The sequence below is a fragment of the Homo sapiens genome, chromosome X (genome assembly GCF_000001405.40).
Source record: "Homo sapiens chromosome X, GRCh38.p14 Primary Assembly".
Taxonomy (NCBI): Eukaryota; Metazoa; Chordata; class Mammalia; order Primates; family Hominidae; genus Homo; species Homo sapiens.
Genome location: NC_000023.11, coordinates 132,727,336 through 132,750,694, shown reverse-complemented (window position 1 = coordinate 132,750,694; position 23,359 = coordinate 132,727,336). Strand labels below are relative to the sequence as shown.

Here is a 23,359-nt window from a genome sequence, read left to right as displayed (position 1 = left end):
TGCAGTATCCTGAGAGCTCCTTTATCTTCTGTAGACAACATTATGCCTGTTTGGGGAACTTCACACATATATATCCACGTGATTCTACCCAGTTCCCATACCCTTGGCCCATCACACCACAAAATAAAGTGCTGGAGCCAAAGAAACTCTAAACAGATGTCTTTAGATGAAAACAAAGCTAGCAGCACTACTGTACAGCCCACATATTGTTGTAGTTTTAAAAGTAGATTGTTGTGGCTTTTGGTTTACTTGCTCACTCCTTACCCCATTTCCTGTTGGTGTGATACTGACCAGCAAAGTCGCCTTTGCAGCGTTTCCTTGGATCTCTTTTTTTTTTTTTTTTTTTTCTTGATGGGCATCTTTCACTTCTAGGAAAACCAAACAAAAATTTCCTCCAAAAATTCAAGTCAGTCAACATTTATTGAGCACCTAACAGGTTCATGGTGTTGTACCAGGCACTGCAATTGGAGAAGAATGTTACAAGTACACATGCCCAAACTCGACTGTGTCCAGTCTGGAGAGAAGGCTGGATCTGGCCCCACAGATTGTGGTGGGAGACTGGCTGGGGATGAGGCTGTTGGCTCTTGGTGTTTTGCAGGAAACTTCAAGAAGGAAGCTGGGGGGTGTGTCCTCCCTAGGCCCCCCACCCCGGTTAATTTGCTTTGTTTCTGAAACACACTGACCAGTAGCTAAATGGGCCTAGCTCATGTTCAGGGCTGCGTGCTGAAACTTCATTAGCTCTTTTCAAAGCCCTTTCCTATTGGTATAGAGGTTCCTCTTAACACTGCCAGCTTCCTTGAAAGGTTTTTCAGCTGCTCCTTATAGAATCACTTCGAATTAAAATGCTTCATTCCAGGGGAGATTTTATTTACAGCCAAGCAACTGTAACTAGTAGCACTCCCCCCACCAGGCTGCAGTGACTATAGATCTTTGATACTGCTGAATGACTCTGTCAAGGGTTCCAATTTGCTTTTATACAAGTGCATCACCCAATTCAAAATAAATGCATCCAGACTCCCTTGTCCTCTCCCAACCCCCACACACTATTCCATTTCCCATAAGCACGTGGCCTGCGGCTCAGGGGTGTCAGTCACTTAGCCAGCTGTCTGTTGCCTGACACAGACATATCAAGTTGGTTCACCTTAACTAAGTGATTGAGCTTGATTGCCAACCATCTGGTGAGTTTAGTTAAGGGAATTGTGATTTCTAGACCAGTCTAACACGGCCAAATATGTACCTCCCCAAGCCCCCAAAACAAGTGTGTCTGTGGGACCACATTTTATTTGTACAGTTACAGAATTTTATGGCTGGGGAGGACTGCTTTCCAACTTCATTGCTGAAGTCTGAATTTACCCCTTCAATTCAAGCTCTGAAAATTTTATGGGCTGAGCCCAAGGCTAATTGTTCCAATATTAGATGAAGCCCCTGTCCTCAAGAAGCTCACAGTCACTCAGAGGTAAAAGGCAGTCACCACTTGGCTCTAATGTAATGTAATAAGTGCCATGGTAGCGGCAAGAACAAAGTGTGCTGTGAGAATCCGAAGGAAGGATGGATTACTCTGCCTGTGAGGGGAGAGGGTCAGGAAAGGCTGCTCAGAGGAGGTGATATTTGAGCTGGGTCAGGTGGGAAGGCTATTCCAAGCGAGGAGAACTGTGTGAGCAATGGCATGCATGCATTTGCCATATTTGGGGAATCTCGGTTTAGAGATGAGAGGCCTCCCATGGGCACAGGTTTTCCAGAGAATAAATGAAATCAAGAGTGTCTGAGGCTGGGAACAGTGGCCCACGCTTGTAACCCCAGCACTTTGGGAGGCTTGCCTGTGTTATATGCCTTTGGCAGGTGGATTGCTTGAGCCCAGGAGTTCAAGACCAGCCTGAGTAACACTGCAAAGCCCTGTCTCTACAAATAATAGTAATAATAATAAATCATCTGCATGTGGTGGCACACACCTGTGGTCCTAGATTCTTGGGCAGCTGAGGTAGGAGGATTGTTTGAGCCCAGGAGATCAAGGCTGCAGTGAGCCATGATTGCACCACTGCACTCCAGCCTGGGTGACAGAGTGAGACCCCGTCTCAAAAAAAGAGCATCTGGCTGTAGAAAGGTTTTTCCCAAGTATGATCCAAGCGTTAGGACTCAGCTCCATCCTGGTCAGCATTCGTAGATGGCCAAGTGTGTGTCATTGTGGATGGCTCCTCCCTGGGCACCAAAGGTTGGTATGTAGCCACCTTCCTTTAAATTGTGGCAACAGTGGTGGCAGCCAAGGACAGCTGCTTTGTGGGAGAGAGGAGTTAAATGTGAGAAGATTTATTTTGGTTCTATTACCAGCGGTCCTTTTCTGAGTGAGGCTTAACAAGAGGCAAACGCCTAATGACCTCCTGAGTATCACCAAAGTGTTCAAGATAGGCTTGAAAAGCCAAAGAAGATGAAAAGAAAGAAAGAAATCAAAGGGTCCTTCAAAAGAAAAGAAGTAGACAGTAACGGCTATAGGATTTGGGATCACTTTTTCCCTGCTTGGCAGGTTGGAATTGCAGCTTAGGTATGTTGAAGGGTAGTTCCCCTCTAATGGTATTATTGATACTAGACTCTCTGTTCCCACAGAGAGAGCTATGTTGGGGAAGAAAGAAAATATTTGATGTCTGATTCATGAACACGCTAACTGGCCCATGCATTGTGGCAGAGAAGTAACAGCTTTATTTTGAAAAATGTCAACCTTTTAAAAAAAAATCAAAGAAAATAACATAGGATTTTTGTCACTCATGGCATGCCTTCCACATGGCTTTGTTTTCCAAACCTGGCCAGCCTGCAGTTTCCTTCCCATAGTGGGGAGGAGAATGAGCCTCCCACCTGGAGAGTGTGGAGCCCCAAGAAGCAGCATCCTCTGGTGGTCCCAACATCTGCAAATAGATGAGACAGCTGACTCCTCTCTGGCTGGACTTTTGTTTTTGCCCTGTGCCTGTCTAACCTTGGGCAAGCAAAAGATCTGAGAGCATTAGGGCTGGAAGGGGCCTTGGAGAACATTGAGCCCAACCTCCCTCCCCCTTGTACAAATGGGAAAACTGAGGCCCACAGAGAGGGAGGGACTTGCTCATGGTCACACAGCCATGGAGATAGAGCCAAGATTTGAACTCAGGGTTCTTTCTTCTAGTCTTTGCAACTATGGGCTGCAGTCTCTCTCAGCAGTCCCAAGCAGCAGATTAGTCTCCTGGAGAGGCAGGGGCATGCTTTAATTGCTGCCAATAGGGAAAGTTATAGAAAAGAGGGACAGACCTACTTGCTGCTCTCCTCCCTTAGGTAAACAGCCTTGTCTATTTCTAGTCACATTTCCCTTCCAGCGAGCTTTCCTATGTTATATGCCTTGTAAGTAGAGAATCAATGAAGTTCCTCAGTTACAGAGGAGATTCAGGTGGACAAAGCCATGTTATAGACCTAAGTCCCCTTGTGGCACAGGTTTTGTCCTCAAACCATCATACTGAGGCACAGTTCATGCATCACCTCCTCCAGGGAGCATTTCCTGATTTCCAAGACTGAGTTGCACAACCCCTCCTCACCTTAGCCTTTATCAACTGTCTGTCATGGTTGACTCATCTGTCTCTTTCTCTGGGCTTTGAACTTCTTGAGGACAGGGACCTTGTCTTCTCCATGTCCCAAGTGGATAGCACGGGGTCCAGCCCAAAGTAGACAATCAGTGTTTTTTAAATGACCGAGGACTCAGATTCCCATGGTAACAAAAGTTTGACTCTTGTTTCCTCGGTGAATTGAAAAACCAACCACTGTAGGTAGGGAAATGGGAAATCCAAACGAGTTGTTTGTTATTCACTGGGCAGGATACTTCATGGGACTCTGCTAGCTCAAGTCCTGAAGAGCCCTGCTCTGTGGTGGTATGTCTGCCATAGGCCCACCTGTGCAATCCCTGGTGGGTCCATGGGATTGTTTCGCTTGGATGTCTGTGACTGTAGACTTCAGGAACAGGATACAGGTTGTTCAATAGATTTCAGTTAGACTGAAAGGCCATGGCTGAATTCTGTTGTCCTTCACCTAAACATTATTGGAGGGAGGCATCTTCCTAGGCAGAGGGAGTGAGGTGGGGATTGGCTGATTATGAGGAGGCCAGAGCTTCAGGTCAGAATGTTTTTTCTCATCTAAATGTATTAGGTTGGTGCAAAAGTAATTGTGGTTTTTGCCCTTACCTTTTTTTTTTGAGACGGAGTCTCGCTCTGTTGCTGGAGTGCAGTGGCGCGATTTTGGCTCACTGCAAGCTCTGCCTCCTGGGTTCACGCCATTCTCCTGCCTCAGCCTCCCAAGTAGCTGGGACTACAGGCGCCCGCCACCACGCCCGGCTAATTTTTTTGTATTTTTAGTAGAGACGGGTTTTCACCGTGTTAGCCAGGATGGTCTCGATCTCCTGACCTCATGATCCGCCTGCCTCAGCCTCCCAAAGTGCTGGGATTACACCGTGCCCGGCCGCCCTTACTTTTAATGGCAAAAACCACATTAACTTTTGCACCAATCTATAGCTTGGTTTTCATTCTCTGGCCTTGGAGTAAGCCCTACAGGTTTACATGCAAAGATATTCCCATTCCTAAAAGCCGTGTACCGTAGGATCCTGGGTCATTGGAGGCAGTATCTTTTACTTAGACTCATTTGCTCCAGGAAAGTGAGCAAAACATCTCTTTTTTTGTACTGTAGCCAAGGCTGTTGTAGGAAGCGTTGTCTGTCATTCTCAATGCTGACTGCACATTCAAACCTTTTTATGTAAAGTTGAAAATTCACCTAAGATTTTAAGTAAGAAAAAAACAGAAACTGATACCAGAGTTAATAAGAAAAACAATTGTTGCTCAGGCCCTACTCATACCAATTGCGTCAGAATCTCATGGGTCAGCCTTGGAAACACTCTCTAGATGTTTTTTAATATGCAGCCAGAATTGAGAACCACTGATCTAAGTAGAAGGTGATAATGTGTTCTCTTCTTGTTCTCAGTTACTTTCTAAGGGATTCTAAAGCCAGTGACCCTTGAAACCAGAACTCTCAGGATTTTCCCCAACTCTGTGAAGGTTTGAGACACAACAGATTTTGAGAGAAATACTCATTCTGCTCTCACCTAGAGCTTTGCTTCAGTCTAAGTTGTGTCTGGGTCCACATCAAGCACATGGGTAAGGGTACAAAGTATTTGGGGAAGGCAATTCTCTTCCCACTATGCTTTATAAGGCCCCAGACACTCATAATTTTGACTTCGATTTCATTGCTTGGGCAGAGTATCTAGTCCTTTCTCACAGATTACAGAATTTCAGGTCTTAAAAAAAAAACTATCGGGGCTGGGCGCGGTGGCTCACGCCTGTAATCCCAGCACTTCGGGAGGCTAAGGCAGGCAGATCCTTTGAGGTCAGAAGTTGGAGACAGCCTGGCCAATATGGTGAAACCCTGTTTCCACCAAAAATACGAAAATTAGCTGGGCACAGTGATGTGCTCCTGTAGTCCCAGCTATTCAGGAGGCTGAGGCAGGAGGATTGCTTGAACCTGGGAGGCAGAGGTTACAGTGAGCCAAGATTGTGCCACTGCACTCCAGCCTGGGTGACACAGCAAGACTCTGTCTCAAAAAAATAATAATAAAAAAACCTGTGGATATTTTGCTCAGTACCTGGGTGATGGGATCATTCTTACCCCAAACCTCAGCAATTACACAATATACCCAGGTAACAAACCTGTACATGTAACGCCTGAATCTAAACTAAAAGTTAAAACAAACAAACAAAAAAACCCAAATCATAAAAAAGTTACCTCCAAAGTACATTCATAATAGTATAGCCAGAGCAGTTCTAAGTAATTTTAAACGGTGAGTGAGAGAATGTTTGATACCTGGCTTCCATTCATTCATTTTCTTTGGTCTGAATGTGTAGTGGGCACATGGTGGAAACAGATCTTTGACTTTGGGGCTTTTGAGGTTTGAGGCTTACAGAGAGAGCCCTCAGTAGGAGGAGGGGTGTGTTTACATAACCCTGGGGCACCCTGTCAATGTATTCTGTGCAGCCAAACAGATCAATAGAGTGAAAAAAACAATTCAGCTGAGTGAACTGATAGGCTGATAGGTTATTTGATTGACTGGGCTGGTGGAGCCACTCAAGAAGAAACTACAGTGCTATAACTTGGGAGGCCAGATAAACAGCTGATGCCAAAAGCATCTGCTTAGCAATCACTGGAGCCCAGTTGACACAAGCTATTGGAACCACATTTGAGTAAAAAAGATATAAAGTGCACTGGGGTACCATGACTATGGGTGAATCTTCTTCCTCATCATACTGTAGTCCTTCAGATCTCAGGGGCCGTGTAGCTTATTACCTCCAAGTTTCTTCTTAAGGAGAGAAGAGAGCACAGCTCTGTAGTGACTCTAAAGCTTCTCAGCTGTGTGGACTTGAGCAAGTGATTTGACCTCTCTGAGCCTCAGTTGCTTCCTCCAGCCATAGGAGTAAATATATTATGTACTTCATAGGGTTGATGGGAGAGTTCAGTGAGGTTAGACACAGAAAATGCTTAGAAAAATGCTTGATGCATATACATAGGAAGCATCTAATAAATGGTAGCATTGATGATTCTTATAAAATAGAATGCTGCAGGCCAGGCATGGTGGCTCATGCCTGTAATCCAAGCACTTTGGGAGGCCAAGGCAGGAGATCACTTGAGGCCAGGAGTTTGAGATCAACCTGGGCAACATGGCAAGACCCGTTTCTCCACACACACACACACACAGACAAAATTAGCCAAGCATGGCAGCACACCTTTGCTCAGTACCTGGGTGTCACAGCTACTCAGGAGGGTGAGGTGAGAGAATTCTTTAAGCCCAGGAGATTGAGGCTGCAGTAAGCCATGTTCACATCATTGCATTCCAGCCTGGGCAACAGAGTGAGACCTTGTCTCAAAAAACAAACAAACAAACAAACAAAAAACGCTGCAATTGGTGCAGTGGATAGGACACAGACTTTGGTGTCAGATGATCTGGGTTCAAATTCTGGCTCTACCACTTCCTAGCTGGGTGCCTAGGGCAAGTCAGTATAAAATCTCTTGGTAGGTCCCACTTCCCTCGCCCTCTCTCATAGCTGAAGGGTGAGGTGAGGTAAGCCTTTAGCAATGGGCTTGGTATGTAAGTGGTCAATAAATGCTGGTTTTTATGATTATCAATCGCCATCAATATGATAGTTACTGGGAAATTGCCCTAGTTCTTCAGTCACTCCTCAGTAGGACGCAATTTCCTTAGTGCTAGTCATTGCAGTCCCCTTTTTTTGGTTGTGTTTTGGTTTGCCATTTACTCCCATGTGGAGTGTGGGATACAAAATGAACCCTAGATCCATGCCCTGGGGCCTAGCCTTTTCATAACCCTGCCCCACTCATTCCTGTTTGCTTATGCAGAGCTTCCCGTCAATGAAAGCCCCAAGGTCCTATTGTAAGGCCTGCTGTGAAACCAGGTCTCCCCCAGCTTCTAGCTAATTGATATTCTAAAACCTTGGATTGCAGCTTGACCTTTATCCTTGTCAAATATCTCTTGGGTTTTGGCCCATGATTCCAGCCAGTCATTGGCTCTTTGTATCCCACTTTCTTGATTATTTTGGTTGCGTTTTTTAATTAGGCGTTGTGTGTTGCAGAGACACATGATGGTGCTTAATCATGCCACCATCTCCCTCATTGCTCTTTGTGGTTTTGTGAGTCTTGAATTGACATGTGTGCTCCTCATTTAGCCTTCCTGAAAACCCTACCTGCTGCACCTATACTTTCAAACATGCACTGCTGGTCATCTGGAGGCATTTACCTGAAATGTTACCATGGTGCCTAGACAGGACTCTATAAGGCTTACCCTGAACTCCTAAATCCTTTAAGTGTTGAGGAATGTGAGAAATGTGTATGATTTTAAGTATTTGTCTGAACTTCATAAATTAGGGAAATTACGTAGTGACACGGAAAGCCAGATATACATGTGTGACTTGTGGATTATCCATGTAATTGTTTCCTTAAATCGGTGCATACAAAAATAAGAGTCAGATTTTGAATGGGCAGAAACACACAAAAAACCTGTATTGCACCTGTTGTTGGGAAGATTTGGCTGGTTACAATAAGGCTAGATGGGCTAGATGAGGATACACAACAATGGCTCACCCCAATTTGGGGAAGTCCTTTTTGGCCTTTATGCAATGGGCTCTCTAAAGGACTAGCCATGTGGTAGCCTGTCTAGGGGTGGGGTACACAGTGGGAGGAGCCCTTATTGATGGTCTTGGGGTCTGGAACCCATTTCCTGCTAGGCAACTGACTCATCCTGTGACTTAGGGAAGCAAGCCATTGCCCATCTCTGGGTTTCAGTTTCCAGAGGGTGTTAGATTGGAAGGTTTCTTCCAGATTTGAACTTTGACTATTTTAGTGACTTAAGAGAAACAGCTGAATCCAAGTGCAAACGTCTGTCTTGCACCTTTAAAAAGAACCAAAACCACATTGTAGGCAAACGATCCCCAGTTTGAAATAGCAGCTTCCGTCTTTGGATTGTGTCCTGCTGCCCATTCTTTCTCAGACCTGCCTGGTTCCACACACTGGCTGACCATACAAGACCTTTTCATCTCAGCACTAGATGTGCACGTCTTTTTTCTTGACTGTGCTCTCAGAATACTGGGAGAGATTTTTTACAATACTGTTACTACTGCCATGAATAGCACCTACCAATGACTGTGTCTTGTGTGACAGGCACTGTGCTGTATGCTTTGTGTACATTTTCTCTTTTGATCCTTATAATATCCTATGGAGTTGGCATTGTTATTAATCCCTTTTACAGATAGAGAGGAGGGATGACTCATGGAAGTGACACACAGCTAGTAAGTTGCAGACTTAGTACTGCCAGATCCCAGGGTCTTAATGAGTATTATAAGTATGCTTTTTGCATCCCTGGGTGGAACTTGGATGTATTAATAATAACAACAGTGGCAGTATCTCTTATACGCAGTGAGGTAGGTGCTGTTATCCTCCATTTTATAGAGGAAGACAGCAAGGCTGAGAGAGATGTGGTAACTTGCCCAAAACTGCATAACTATAAGAATCCAAGCTGAAACGAATCTGAGGCTAATTGCCCTCAAACCCATGCTGTTGGCCAGGCATGGTGGCTCATGCCTGTAATCCCAGCACTTTGGGATACTGAGGTGGGCGGATCACTTGAGGTCAGGAGTTCGAGACCAGCCTGACCAACATGGTGAAATCCAATCTCTACTAAAAATACACAAGTTAGCCAGGCATGGTGGCGTGCTTGGGATGCTGAGGCAGGAGAATTGCTTGGACCTGGGAGGCAGAGGCTTCAGTGAGCCAAGATCACACCACTGTACTCCAGCTTGGGCAACAGAGCAAGACTCTGTCTCAAAAAAAAAAAAAAACAAAACCAAAAACAAAACCCGTGCTGTTTCTTCTACACCATGCTGCCTTTAGGGCTAGAACAAGTCTTAAAGAGGCTGTGGGTTTGCTTTCTATTCTCTGCTCCCAGGAACTGTGGCACTGCTTTTCTGAATGGCTTTGCCGGCGCAGCTGGCCAGGCTTGGGCAATTCAGGGTTCCCATAGTGCAAGAGCAGCATCCACCCGACTCCATCTCCCAGAAGCATGCAGTACTTACTGACAATTGTATGCCCAAAGTAGGTAATTTTGCCTTTTCAAGCACAAAAAGGTAAATCAAATTATACCCAATATAGAGCAGAGGAAAAGAAGGAACAAATGAAGTAGGAAGAAATGCATTCCCTTCTGTGACTCTCCTCAGCCACTGTCTGTGTCACTGTCTATAATATATACTCCTTGCTTTTCATTTCCTTGCATATCAGTGATCCATGTTCCCAGTGGTGTCTAAAGGCCACCTGTATTCAACTGTTAGCTGCCTTGCATGTGCCTATCTCTCAGTTTCAGCAGCTGCTTCCTCAGTTTCCCTAGTCTTGGCAGGTAGGAGCTTTTTACCTAACCAATAGAGGATTGCCATCCAGTGGTACATATTGGGAACTGCATGGCTGAAAAAAAAAAAGTCCTGAATTTTTTTCCCCCTTTCTAAAGGCAAACACCACCCATTCCTCAATCCTACTTAAGGGATTAACTATGCCCTTTCTTCTCTTTTTTCTTAGTCTTTTGTCAGCTTTGCTGCTCATTAGCTCTTATACAAGAAGCAGAGCAGGAGAAGTAAATGCAGGGAAATACAAATCACTGCCGGATTTCAGCACCCCCACACCCCCGCTATTGTGAATGGTTTGCTGGGAGAGAAGCTCTAGGAACTGATGGGGTTCAGCTCATTCAGAAAATCCTGTTCTCCTTTGGTATTGATGGCTGAAAACTCTGATTACATCTGCAGAGCAGTGTGAATAGTAGGTTCTAAAAGGGGCTGATACAAAGGACAATTCACAACAGATTACGTACAAGTAGGTAATAAACAAAAGGCAAAAAATCAACTTCACTTGTAATCAATGAACTGTAAATTAAAACTAACAAGAGAAATTATTTTTGCATATAAAATTGGCTGAGAAATGTTAAAATCAAAATTCCCAGGGTTGACGAAGATTTCGTGAAATGGTTGTTTTTCTACACTACTGCTGGGAGTCATAAATTACTCAGCCTTTATGGAGAACATGTTGACAATGTAATCAAGAGAATTAAAAATGTCTATGCGCTTTGACCCCATAGCTTTGTTACTAGATTTCACATAAAGAATTCATCAGACACTACTGTTTATGTCTACAAATCTTAACTTTCCCTATTATAATAGAAAAAAACAAGACTCTGAATGTCTAAAAAGTGTTTCTTAAACTAAGGCATAATCATAGGCTAGAATATTACATAGCAATTTATCCAAAATCATGTTCTTAGCAAATATTTAAGGATTTAAGGTTTTAGGAAAACGCTTATGGCATAATATTTTTTAAAAAATTCTCTCAGGGTACAAAACTAATCATATCTCCTCTTTGTACGATATACCTTTTTTTTTTTTTTTTGAAATGGAGTCTTGCTCTGTCACCCAGGCTGGAGTGCAGTGATGTGATCTTGGCTCACTGCAACCTCTGCCCCCTGGGTTCAAGCAATTATCGTGCCTCAGCCTCAGGAGTAGCTGAGATTACAGGCACCCAGCACCACACCTGACTAATTTTTGTATTTTTAGTAGAAACGGAGTTTAACCATGTTGGCCAGGCTGGTCTCGATCTCCTGACCTCAAGTGATCCGTCTGCCTCGGCCTCCCAAAGTGCTGCGATTACAGGCATGAGCCACAATTTATAGAATAAAAAATGAGGCTAAGGGAATGATAGTCCAGCTTAAACACACAGTCACTACTAAGAAAATGATTAAAAGCCTGTACATTCTGGACTCATGGAGTTAGAACTTAAAAGGACCTTGGAGTACATCTAGTGTCAGCCCCACCAATGCCACTGAAATCCCCTCGGTGACTACCTGACACACTGGTTCAGGCAGTCTCTCTTTAAATACTGTGGTTAAGGAACTTGCTCACCGCCTCTGGCAACCGCTTCTTCAAAGTAAATGATAGTGATAATCCCATCCCTGGTGCGCGTCTAGTGATTTATAGTCTGTGAAGCTTCTAAAGGCACATTTTCCTCTCACGAACCCTGGGAGGCAGGGAGAACAAGTACATTTATCTGCATTTTCCAGATGAGGATCCTGAGTTGAAGTGACTCCCAGTGGTAAAGTGACTTGTGTAGCTGGTGGATAAGATAGGACTGCAGTCCAGGTTTCCTGACTCCCACTCTGAGGCTTGTTCCAGCCCTCCACAAAATCCAGGGTCTAGTTTCATTCAAGTATCTCCTTTTATTGAGTTTATGTTGGTCTTGCTATAGCTGTGACCCCTCCCATGATACCTCATACATCGTCTCTTAGACCTTGAAAGATGTGCTTGGATGTGGGGCCACATGCTAGCTAGCTAAGGTCCAGAGTAGGGTGAACATGGAAAGAGCTCAGGGGGAGAATGAAGAAACCAATGAGTCCACCTTGCTGCAAATTCTAGCAGTCTCCACACAGGAATCTGCAACCATATTTATGAAACGTTGTTTTCATAAACTGCTGCTTGTTCAATAAGGCATAAAATAGCCAGTATAAGATAGTTATTTGCTCTACAATATCGTTTCTGCAACACAGCTTCAATGTCATAGCAGTTACTGCATTTTGTTTAGTTTCTTAAGAGATGTGACACAGTAGATTAACCATTGACATCAAAATGCAGAGGTTCCCTTAGAGCTGTCAGCAATCTTGTTCCATTCTTTTCCCACAACTCTGCATCCCGCCTTGGGAAAGCATTTGTACACTTCCACTGCAAGGTCTAGTCACAGACCCACTCGGATTTGTCAATGTCATGGGAAAGCAACAGGCAGGAAGACAACTTTCTATGACCTTGGGATGCTATCTGTGAGTTAGGCAAAGGAAGCTGAGATTCAGTCCATTACTGGTTATCCCTGTACACGGATGGTCCACATCCCATTCCAGGGACTATGAAGAAGGGCAAGGAAGACACAGTAGAGTTTTCCTTCTCACAGAGGTGGCAAGAGAAATACACAGGAAAGGAAGAACAAGCCAGAAAAGACAGGATAGGCTGACTCTTCCAAGTGCAGTGAGAGCTCTAAGAGGGAGGTGACTCACTGAGGGCTGCCGGTTCAGGTCAGGACTAGGTCAGAAACCTGCTCTGGCCTAGACCCAAGGGTTGGCAGAGAACAGAAACAGCTCAGTGGGTTTGAGAACAGGATGGGCACTGGCCACGGGAGCCAACACCATGAGGTCCTGATCAAACCCTGCAGGCGTCTTCTCTGGTGCAGAGGCACCTACTTCCAGGAACTCAGTCTCAGAACTCAGCAGGAAGTCACACCAGCCCTCCCACGCCTAATCTGCCAGCTGCTGCAGCGGGCACTTGCCTGCCCTGGCTTTGGAGCCTTCATTCTTGCCCTAGTGGGGGCAGGGTATGTTCTAACTAGAGAAATGCCAAACACCTATGCTTGCCCCTTCCGCTGGTTTGACTGTTTTCCCGGAATGGACCTGAGAAATTCAGTGAAATGATTCAAAGAAACAATTAGTTGATTCCATTAGAAAGTTAGTCAAACTGGTATTTAAGCTGAATTTATTCTGGCAGATGGGCTTGCAGGGGTAGACTCCTGCCATAGTTCCTGACCATCTCTCCCCACCGTGTTGCTAAAGGTGGGAGGAACTAGAAGATAAAGGGAGGGCCCCAGTGGGAACGAATGGAAATACCAAAAGCTTTGTGCGTGTCTGCTTCCATCCAGCTGCTAACTGTTGTCCCACTCCATTAGCCCAATCTTGCCCAGTAAGTTCTCATGACAGCAGTGCACATCCCTTCCCAAGAGCACCAGAAACTGTTGTCTAGCAGATGTTAGGATACGTAAGGGGCCAAGTGAGTTACCACGAAGGGACTCTCAGGTCCATACATTGATATGAAGACTAGGTTTGAAGCCATTTTTCACTATGTTCTTCAGTTTGTCCAGGTTCCCAAAGCCCAGGTTATTCTCAGTCTAAGATTTTTTTGCTCGACTCCCCACAGGGTCGAGCTATGTGATCTATGTCAAGTGGTACCTCCCTTCTGAGCCTCAGGGTCTCCATGTGTAAAATGAGATCGTTAAGTCAGATGAGCTCAGTGGTACCTTACAGCTCAAGCATTCATTCTGTGAATTCAGGTTTGTCCTCTTTTGGTCCAAACTGAAATTGCCTTCATGGGATGACCCAAGTGTCTTGTTCCTACCAATATTCTTATAAACTCAATTCTTTTCTATCTTTTTAATTCCCTACCAATGTGGGCATATGGGTCCACTTTGTTCCTTTCACAAAGAAAATGGTCTGCATTGAGGTTTCTTTTCAAGAGGGGCAAGGAGGAATCTCGTATTTATATAAGATACTCAGGCCCATCACCTGATACCACCCTTCCATCTTAGGTGTGTTTGATCATTCATTCATGTATATATTTATTCATTCTCTCATTCAGCAATATCAACGGTGTGACTACCTCATGCATAGTATCATGGTGGGCAATGCATATGCATAAGAATATACAGCATGATCACTTTTGTAAGATGGGAGGTGATTCACAATGAACCCTGCTGCCATCCTGAGCTGTCACCCTACTGGAGTCACTCTGCGCTACTACATACCACCCCTGGCAGAGACCCTGAAACTTACACCATATCATTAGAAAGACAAGCTACCTGTGTTTAAGAGTATTGCAAATGATCAATTCATAGGCTAAGCAATCTAGAATAGAGAGTACTTAAAAGACGTTAAACCTAAAAGAAAAGAGGAAAAATTGTGCAAACTAACAGAAGCTATATGTGTGTGTTTTCATTCCTTTGATGGGACACTCAGGAGACTTTGAGTATCAGACCTAGTGTTAAGAGGGCTATTCTTAAGACCTTTGATTAAATCAGTCAAACTTGGAGTCAGATGCTTTCAATGATACTCTTGTATAATTCTTACCCCTTTACCTGTTTTACAGAAAGGGAAACTGAGGCCCTATGTGGCCTTCACTATAATGTCTGGTTGCTTAGAACACAGTTGCAGTTGTCCGGGCACGGTAGCTCACACCTGTAATCCCAGCACTTTGGGAGGCCGAGGCGGGTGGATCACTTGAGGTCAGGAGTTCGAGACCAGCCTGGACAACATGGTGAAACCCCGTCTCTACTAAAAATACAAAAATTAGCCGGGCCTGGTGGTGCACGCATGGCATGTAATCCCAGCTACTCAGGAGGCTGAGGCAGGACAATCACTTGAACCCAGGAGGTGGAGTTTGTAGTGAGCCAGGATCGCATTACTGCACTCCACTCTGGGTAACAGAGTGAAACTCCAACTCAAAAAAATAAATAAATAAATAAATAAAAGCACACAGTTGCAGTGCTGCAAAATTCCTCTTTCTTTAAGGGAGAAGATGAATAGTGCTCAATCCTGATATCAGGAAAAGTCACAAGGCCCTGGGTCTCCAGCTCCAACAGTTCTTTCTCTGTGGCGTCCTCGGGCCAAAGCCCAGCTATATCCCAGCTCCATGTGGGCATCCAGAGAAAGCAGAACTGGAGAAAGCCTTGAGACCAGCCTTCCTGTTTAAGCTGTAGTGATTGACACCAGGAACTTTCCTCACACACCTTTATTTCAGATTACTGGCCTACTCAGACCTTTGCAACCTTCCTGACCCCACAGGCATGATTAACTGCCTGAATTTTTTGTCACGGGTCGGTTTTCCCACCTGGTGTCTTGCGTGCTTTTTTCCTTGGAATTTCTTGGAATCTTTACACGTTTTTGACACCTGCTTTGACCTTCTAGATCCTGGAGCTTTTGCCCAAAAGGCTCTGAAACATGCATCTTGCCTATGGAGCCCGCATCCTAGCCTGCCTTACTTGGGCTGCCTTGATACCATCCCCCATCAGTGTGACAATGATGATTCTGGGCACGTACAAGCCTCTTTCCCAGGAAGCTGGAGCACCAAATGACAGCTGTGTTTGAGGGATGGCTCCGTTGACAACTGATTCAGAATATTGACAAGACTTCATTATGTTTTTGCTCTTGTGTTTACATCTTTCAAGTGTGTTTGAAAAATCAAGAAAACAATACAATTTGGTTTCCCAAATTGAAATGACAATGAAACTGCCTTTTTATTTATTTAATTTTTGTTATTCTCATATTTCTCTAGGCCTCTTCTCACACACACCACCAGCCACCACCCCCCATCCCCATCTCCCCACCAACTTTCTTTCTGGAAAAGACACATCCCATTGTAGCTGTACTGATCTCTAGTCACATACTGTATCTTTGCAGATCTCTCTGTCATTGCTCTTTCTGTTCTCATTCATAGATGACACAGCTAAAGACGGTATCCAGGCCTATGCAGGTTTGGCTGAAAGGGCCAACATGGCATTTTCTTTTCCTAAAGATGGTGCTTTGGTTTGTAGCTGTTTGCTCCTGCCTTTCTGTTTTTCGGGAAGCCTGTTGGCTTTGCTTGTAAAGAGACAGCCTGTAAGGCTATGGTGATTGAAACCAGTCAGCCCAGTGCAATTCAATTCGGTGGAAGAACACTGAGTGCCTATTACAACCAGGAATCTAAAGGAAGGGGGAGATTCACCCTTACCTTGGGAGCCCATGTGGGGAAATGCATATCTTCAGAGAGGGGAAAAGGCTGTGAGAGTTCACAAGTGGGAGTGACTTGGCTCTCTCACCTAGTTTTCACCAACTCTGACCACTTTATTTCACCTCCCATTTTAAAATGCTATCTTGTCTTGGCTTGATTGATATGTTATTTCTGTGATTTTTTTTCCTGCTTTTCTTCGTTGCTAGGTCTTCTTTCTCCCTCTCTCTAACTGGGATTTCTTAGATTTCTTAAAGACCTCATGGACATTCCTATAAGTATGTGTTGCCAACCTTCTAGACCCACCAATCAGAAACCAAACTCATCATCATGCCTTCCCGTTTTGTTAATGAAGTGCCACTTTTTTGTCCAAGATAGAAACATCACTGTCATCTTGAGCTATTCCGTCACCATCCTTTCTCTGCCGTCTGCATATTAATTGCAAGTTTTCTTGATTCTATTAAGAATAAAGAAATTTGAGAGCTGCCAGTAACCTAAGAGGTGATCTAGTATGGAGTTTTCATTGTCTCAGGGAGTCAGAGGATTAGTAGTTAAGCTGAGACTAGAACTCAAGTCTAAGATTCCTAGACTGTTGCTTTTTTTTTTACTTCACATGACCCTAAAATATAGGTAAAGTTCATAGACTTTAGAAAGAAATGACTAAGTTCAAGTCTCCACTCATCTCTACCATTTGCTAGCTTTGATCGTGGGTAAGTAGCTTAATCTCTGTGCTTCATCTGTAAAATGAAATGAAAATACCTTATGTAAAGGAATGGTTGTTAGAATCACATGAGAAAATAGCATAAAACACTTAGCATCAGATGGACTCTACATGAGATCACCTCAGTTCCAGATCTACTGCTAACACTCTTCTAGACCTTTCCATGCTTACTGTTAAATCTTATCTTTCTAATATGGAACATTTAGACTCTAAAGCTTTTTGCTGTTCTGAATCCTATGGTCTTAACTATGTAAGGAATTCAAATTGAAGTAGAGTTTCAACATCTTTTGAAAAAGAGAGTTTCTGCAAATGTTAATACCTCAGATTAGCTCAAAGAAAGATAAAACAGAGAGCTCATTAGTAAGTACTTGTGAGGTACTTCCAAAATTCTGCTTTGTTAACTTTGAGAGGCAAGCAAAAGAGACCCGTAGCTAGTCTAGACTTAAGCCATGTCCAGAAAGAGTGGCTGATTGGTTTACTTGTGAGGTTTGGGTAGGGGGAATAGTATCATACTAGATATCCTGTTTAATAGCCTGTTCTTATTTTCACTTAACAATATATCTTGGTCATGTATTGTCAATGAGCAAATAACTCCTTATGAGCCCTAGTGTACATGCACATTTAGTAGGGGAACCCTAAGAGATTGGAAAATGCATGAGAGGAAGAGATTTCTGGAACTGCAGGGCTGTCTAAAGGAGTGGGAATATCCTTGGAGCCATTGAGAAAGGGACAGAGACAGCTGACATCTTTCTGAGAGTAGAGGACAAAGGGAGGAAAGGTAGAGGAAGAAGGTTGCCTAAGAACTCATGGCTCTAATGTCCTTGGTGATTGCTTGGCCTAAAACACTTCAAGCCTTACAAACTGCTTTTTAAGACAAACCAGTGTCATTTAAAATCACTGCTAGGGATAGCCTTTCTATGTCTAGTTACCTTAGATTATCAGAGCTGAAAGAACTTCAGAGATCTCTTTAAATGTAATATGAGGAAACTGAGGCCCAGAGAGCAGAGGAATAGTTCAAAGCCCTCCCAATGGTTTGATCCTTGGTAGCATAATGAGCAGCATATTAGCTCATTTTCATGCTGCTAATAAAGACATAGCCGAGACTGGGTAATTTATAAAGGAAAGACATTTAATGGACTCACAGTTCCACATGGCTGGGGAGCCCTCACAATCATGGCAGAAGGTAAAGGAGAAGCAAAGTCACATATTACATGGCAGCAGGTAAGAGAGCTTGTGCAGAGGAACTCCCATTTATAAAACCATCAAATCTAGTGAGACTTACCACCACAACAACAGCATAGGGGAAACCAGCCCCATGATTCAATTATCTCCACCTGGCCTCGCCTTTGACAAGTGGGGATTATTACAATTCAAGGTGAGATTTGGATGGGAACACGGCCAAACGGTATCAAGCAGTATTTAACTGGTTTTGTGTGTGTGGAGAGGGAACAGATGAATCATTTGTATTATTATTCCTATGCCTAACGAAACTAAGTCATATGTGTACTTAAGACAGAGAACCAAAACCTTGATTTTTCTCTTGTAGGGGGTGGCTAAACTGGAGTTAGAAGCCTACTTTGCCTGACCTTTTTAGCTTTGATAAAGGCAACCTTGATTCATGATGCATGAGCCTGGGTCTTTGAAACCAATAAGAAATGGTTTGTTCATTGAACGTGCAAACAAATTACTTTCCAAAGACTAAAATTTAAACTGACATTAAGCTCCAAGAGCATCTATATTTAATTATACGTAAAGGCCAGAAAACAATTTGTAACCTTAACATAGTAAAATTAAAAGAGAAATCCCACCTATGCAAATAATTTATTTCAGTGCAACACTACCCTTTAGGATTGCCATCGTTTGCCTGTATTAGCAGTGCTGGCTTTACCAATATTTCCAGGGCGGCCCTGAAATATGAGTTTAGATTGGAAAAAAAGCAGTCAGAGTAGCTCCCAGGGCAGGCTGATGCTATAGAACCACGGAGTGTGCTGGCTTCCCCAATTTCCTTTTTTTTTTCCTTTTCTTCTGAGACGGAGTCTCACTCTGTCACCCAGGCTGGAGTGCAGTGGCGCGATCTCCACTCACTGCAAGCTCCGCCTCCCAGGTTCACACCATTCTCCTGCCTCAGCCTCCCGAGTAGCTGGGACTACAGGTGCCCGCCACCACACTCAGCTAATTTTTTGTATTTTTAGTAGAGACGGGGTTTCACCGTGTTAGCCAGGATGGTCTCGATCTCCTGACCTCGTGATCCGCCCACCTTGGCTTCCCAAAGTGCTGGGATTATAGGCGTGAGCCACTGCGCCTGGCCTGAGTGTGCTGGCTTCTAACAAGATTTGCCTCTTGGTAGGAGGAATAATAATGAAATACCGTCTATGATAATATATTTCTCTCGGGATGTATCTTAGGGGTCAAAATGTAGTAGAAGGAACACAGGCAAGAAAGCACAGAGATCTGGGTCCTAAATTGGATCCAGAGCAACTCCCATCTCCACTCTGGCCCTCAGGCTCTTCATCTATAAACTATGAGGCTTGGACCCAGTCAGTGATTACATTGGAAGAAAAGGGAGAGAATGTGAAATGAAGAGGATGAATCAAATAAAAGTGGCTTCGTTATTTCTGAATGCTCCCTCACCTTCCTCCACTCCTTGACATACACACATGCATGCATACACTAGTTTTCCCCTCAGTTGAGCATGAGAGTCAGTTCCCCTCAGTTGAGCATGGGAGCATGAGAGTCAGGATATCTGGGTTCTCATCCCAGCTGTTTCTTGAACTCTCTGTGTATCCTAAAGTAAATCTCTTGCCCTCTATCTCTGTTCCCCATCTGTAGGATGAGGAGAGGGTGTTGGGTTTTCATTGGTACCCACCAGGAGTGTGTATATATGTACACACACACACAGAGTCCATCCCCAGCTAACTAAAGCAGGGCTTCCCCTGGGGCAGGGCTCTGCAGGTCTGTGTGTTTCAATGGCTTCCCAGGTCACTCTGATGTGTACTTCTAGCTTAGTTCCCTGGCTGGCCAGTCTCTGTGGGCCTTCCCAGCTCTGCCATTCTGGAAGACGAATGGGCAATTTTAGGGGCCTTTTCAGGAACTGTGTGTCCTGCTGCTGTATTCTGGTGGCACAGGGATTAGCTCAACTGCATTTTCAGCTCACCCCTTCCGAGCAGAGTGATTTCACAGGATGGGAGCTGTGCAGAGGGCAGGAGGCACAAAGAAACACTCTGTGGAGTCACAATGTGGCAAGCCGCCATGACGCTGCTCTTAACCTCCCAGTTGTTGCCCACGTGGGCTTTTCTTGAACTATGCAGGAACCTGATTAAATTAATTGATTCCTGGCTTTTCGAAAATCCCTCTCTGGTGGGTTGCATGCTGCTTATCAAGATGTTCTCGGGAAGCTGATGCCAGGTTAAATTCCTTGCACTGAGAAGGCCAGAGCCGGCTTGATTCAGACATGGATATGGTAGAGGAGGGAGGGCAGCCTGTTGCCTGCTTTTCTTTCCTTGTCGCTTTAGCAAACATGGAGCATTACAGGCCAAATGTGCTTGCTGAGTGGAAACCAGGAGGCACTGAGCGGGTGGCTCAGTCTGGAACGCACAGGGCGTAGTGCTTCTTAGCACAGCTTCTGAGCACAGAGGAGACTGCAACAAATGATAGCTGCTGTGTTATTGTAGTGGCAGCGCAGTGTAAGGGAAGAGAAGCTCCCTGAAGAAGACTTGGATGTAACCCCAGCTCTTCTGCTCTTCTTGACTTGCAGATCCAAAATTCTCAGCTTCCTTAAGTTTCTTGGTCTCTAAAATGAGGAGGCTGGACTCAATCAATTATTTTCAAACTTGGACTCTCAGGGTTCTGAGGAGGCACCCTGAGGGCTGCCTCAGGGGTATGGAAGGTGGAAGAGGAGGCTGAGCAGGCAGAACCCAGACCCTCTAACTGACCACCTAGAGCCTCAAGAACAAACTGCCATTCACATCATAGTCTATGTCACCAGTTCTCAAACTTTTCCATCTCAGGACTCCTTTATACTCTTAAAAATGACTGAGGACCTCAAAGAGCTTTGGTTCATGTGGGATTTATCTATTGATATTGACTGCATTAGAATTTAAAACTGAGAAATTTTCAAAAATATGTATTAATCCATTTAAAAGAACAATAGTACCTATTGCATATTAACATATTTTTATTAAAAATAACCTATTTCCAAAGTAAAAAAAAATAACTGAGTGGCATTGTTTTATATTTTGCAAATGTCTTTGATATCTGGCTCCATAGATGATACATGGATTCTCATATCAGCTTCTACATTTGATCTGTTGTGATATGTTGTTTCGGTTGAAGTATATGAAGAAAATCCAGCCTCACACAGACATATATTTGGAAAAGAGAGGCCCTTACGGACTCCCTGAATGATTCTGGGGACCACCAGTGTCTTTATACCACACTTTGAGAACTGCTTCTCTACCTGAATTGCACTCCCTGGAGATGTACAGTGCCCATCCTGCTGGGCAATGAATGGCAGCTCTTCTCTCACTCCCTCCCCCTTCACTGTATCCCCTCTTTATTTAAAGCAGCTCAGTTTTTCTATTTTATATAATGGAGATCCTGGAAGATTTTATTTGAAAAAAGGAGTCTGCTTCTAAAAGTGTTTGAAATTCACCCACCTTAATCTTAGGTTACTGAAGATATAAGGATTTGGAAGCTGATTGAGATCCTATCACTCGGATTTTTCTCCCCTAAGGATGCAAACTCTTGGGCTTTGAGGAGGGTCCTTTGGCATTGTGCCTCAGCTCTTCCTGGACAGTGACTGGCATGTCATCTTGACAGTGACAGTCTTAGCACATGAAAATGCCACTGAATGACTTGAAAGATTTAATGCCACTTCACAATGGGACTGACCTGCCCAGGGAGTGATACAGGCTGAAGGTGGAGGGGATTCAATATTTGTTGAGCTGTCTGATCACTGAAGCAGAGAGATGGGCCATAAGGGCAAGTTTCAGTGATATACTTCTATGTCGTCATCTTTAGAGCTAGACATTCATCATCATTATTTATTTCCTAGATTTATGTCGAACTTTCATTCCAAGGGACAGGAGCCAGTGTTGAATACCATGGGATCTAAGTGCCTTCACAACCCATTGAAGCTTCCTCCAATTTCTTGTTTAATAAAGAAGGCCGTGCTCTTCTTTCCCTTATTGCCAGAGTCATTATTGATTTCATGTTATTCCTTTTATAAAATCACCTCCTGGGTTTTCCTAGGCTTGGCTCTTATAGCCGAGAATGTTCTCTCCTCAGCCTTCTGCTGGGCCTGATGCTGTGAATCCCATCTATGTGGGTCAGGGGACAATTCCACAGCCATCTTGCCAACATGCCCGCGTTAGGCTGTGAGCATGCGCAGAAGTACTCTCAGAGCTGTGGAGGAGGGGAGGCTCCCACACCCGCTGCCTTGTCCTTATTTGTTTTGTTTCTCCCACCAGCCTAGGCATTAATTAAGAGGCCCAGACTCAAAAGCCCACCGTTAGGGTCAATCATTTGGGCTAATTGAGTGTTTCCAATTTAGTGGAACTCTTCTCTGAAAGTAAGAAATAAAACTGAATCCCTGGGAGAAACCGGAACCCTTGTCCATTGCTGGTGGGAATGTAAAATGTTGCAGCTGCTATGGAAAACACTTTGGCAGTTTCTCAGAAAGTTAGAGTATTATATGATCCGGCAATTCTACTCTTAGGTATATATCTAAGAGAAATGAAAACACATGTTCACATAGAAACTTGTACATTAACATTCATAGCAGCATTAATCATGATAGTGAAAAAATGAAAACAACCCCAATGCCCATCAGTGGATGAATGGATAAACAAAACGTGCTGTGTTCATACAATGGAATATTGTTTAGCTGTAAAAAAGACTGACATGATGATTGGTACATGCTACAACATGCATGAACCTCAGAAACTTGATGCCCTAAGTGAAAGAAGCCAGACAAAAAAGACCACATACTGTATGATTCCATTTATATGAATAATCCACAATAGACAAATCCATAGAGACAGAAAACAGATGATTGCCAGGAGCTGAGGGGAGGGTGGAAGGGAGAGTGACTACTTTACTTAATGGGTACAAGGTTTTCTTCTAGGGTGATGAACTAGATAGAGGTGACAGCTGCACAACATGTACTAAATTCCACTGAATTACACACTTTAAAATGGTTCATTTTGTGTTACATGAATTTCTCCTCAATAAAAAATTCAAAACAAATGAACAACAAAACAAAACAAAACACCTGAATCCGTGGCTGCTACCCTCTTTCGAGCTAGTTTCTCTTATGAATGTGTGTGGAATAAGGAACCCAAGCCTGGGCCGTGAACTCTTCCAGAGTGGGAAATGGGCTTCCAATAACTCGTAGACACTCAATAGTTATATACTATTGAGTATATAACTATTATCATGTATGGAGATATCATATATGGTTTCCCATATTGCTGTCTTCACTGTAGGCTCATGGAAAGCAGGGACCATGTCTTATTCACCCTTGAATTCCAAGCGCCTA

General features: G+C 44.0%; 1 protein-coding gene across 9 annotated transcripts in view, besides 2 other annotated features; it reads left to right on the top strand.

The window, feature by feature from the left end:
* The window catches only part of HS6ST2 (heparan sulfate 6-O-sulfotransferase 2), a 335,356-nt gene that overhangs the window by 210,676 nt on the left and 101,321 nt on the right, over positions 1-23,359 (top strand). The window lies entirely within an intron of this gene.
* Positions 7,006-7,807: an enhancer, noted in NCBI's record as "OCT4-NANOG hESC enhancer chrX:131876916-131877717 (GRCh37/hg19 assembly coordinates)". NCBI's record gives its function as "activates a minimal SCP1, AML or CMV promoter by ChIP-STARR-seq in naive H9 embryonic stem cells {active_cell/tissue: H9 hESC(naive)}" and the evidence as "EXISTENCE:reporter gene assay evidence [ECO:0000049][PMID:30033119]".
* Positions 12,346-12,846: an enhancer, noted in NCBI's record as "H3K4me1 hESC enhancer chrX:131871877-131872377 (GRCh37/hg19 assembly coordinates)". NCBI's record gives its function as "activates a minimal SCP1, AML or CMV promoter by ChIP-STARR-seq in primed H9 embryonic stem cells {active_cell/tissue: H9 hESC(primed)}" and the evidence as "EXISTENCE:reporter gene assay evidence [ECO:0000049][PMID:30033119]".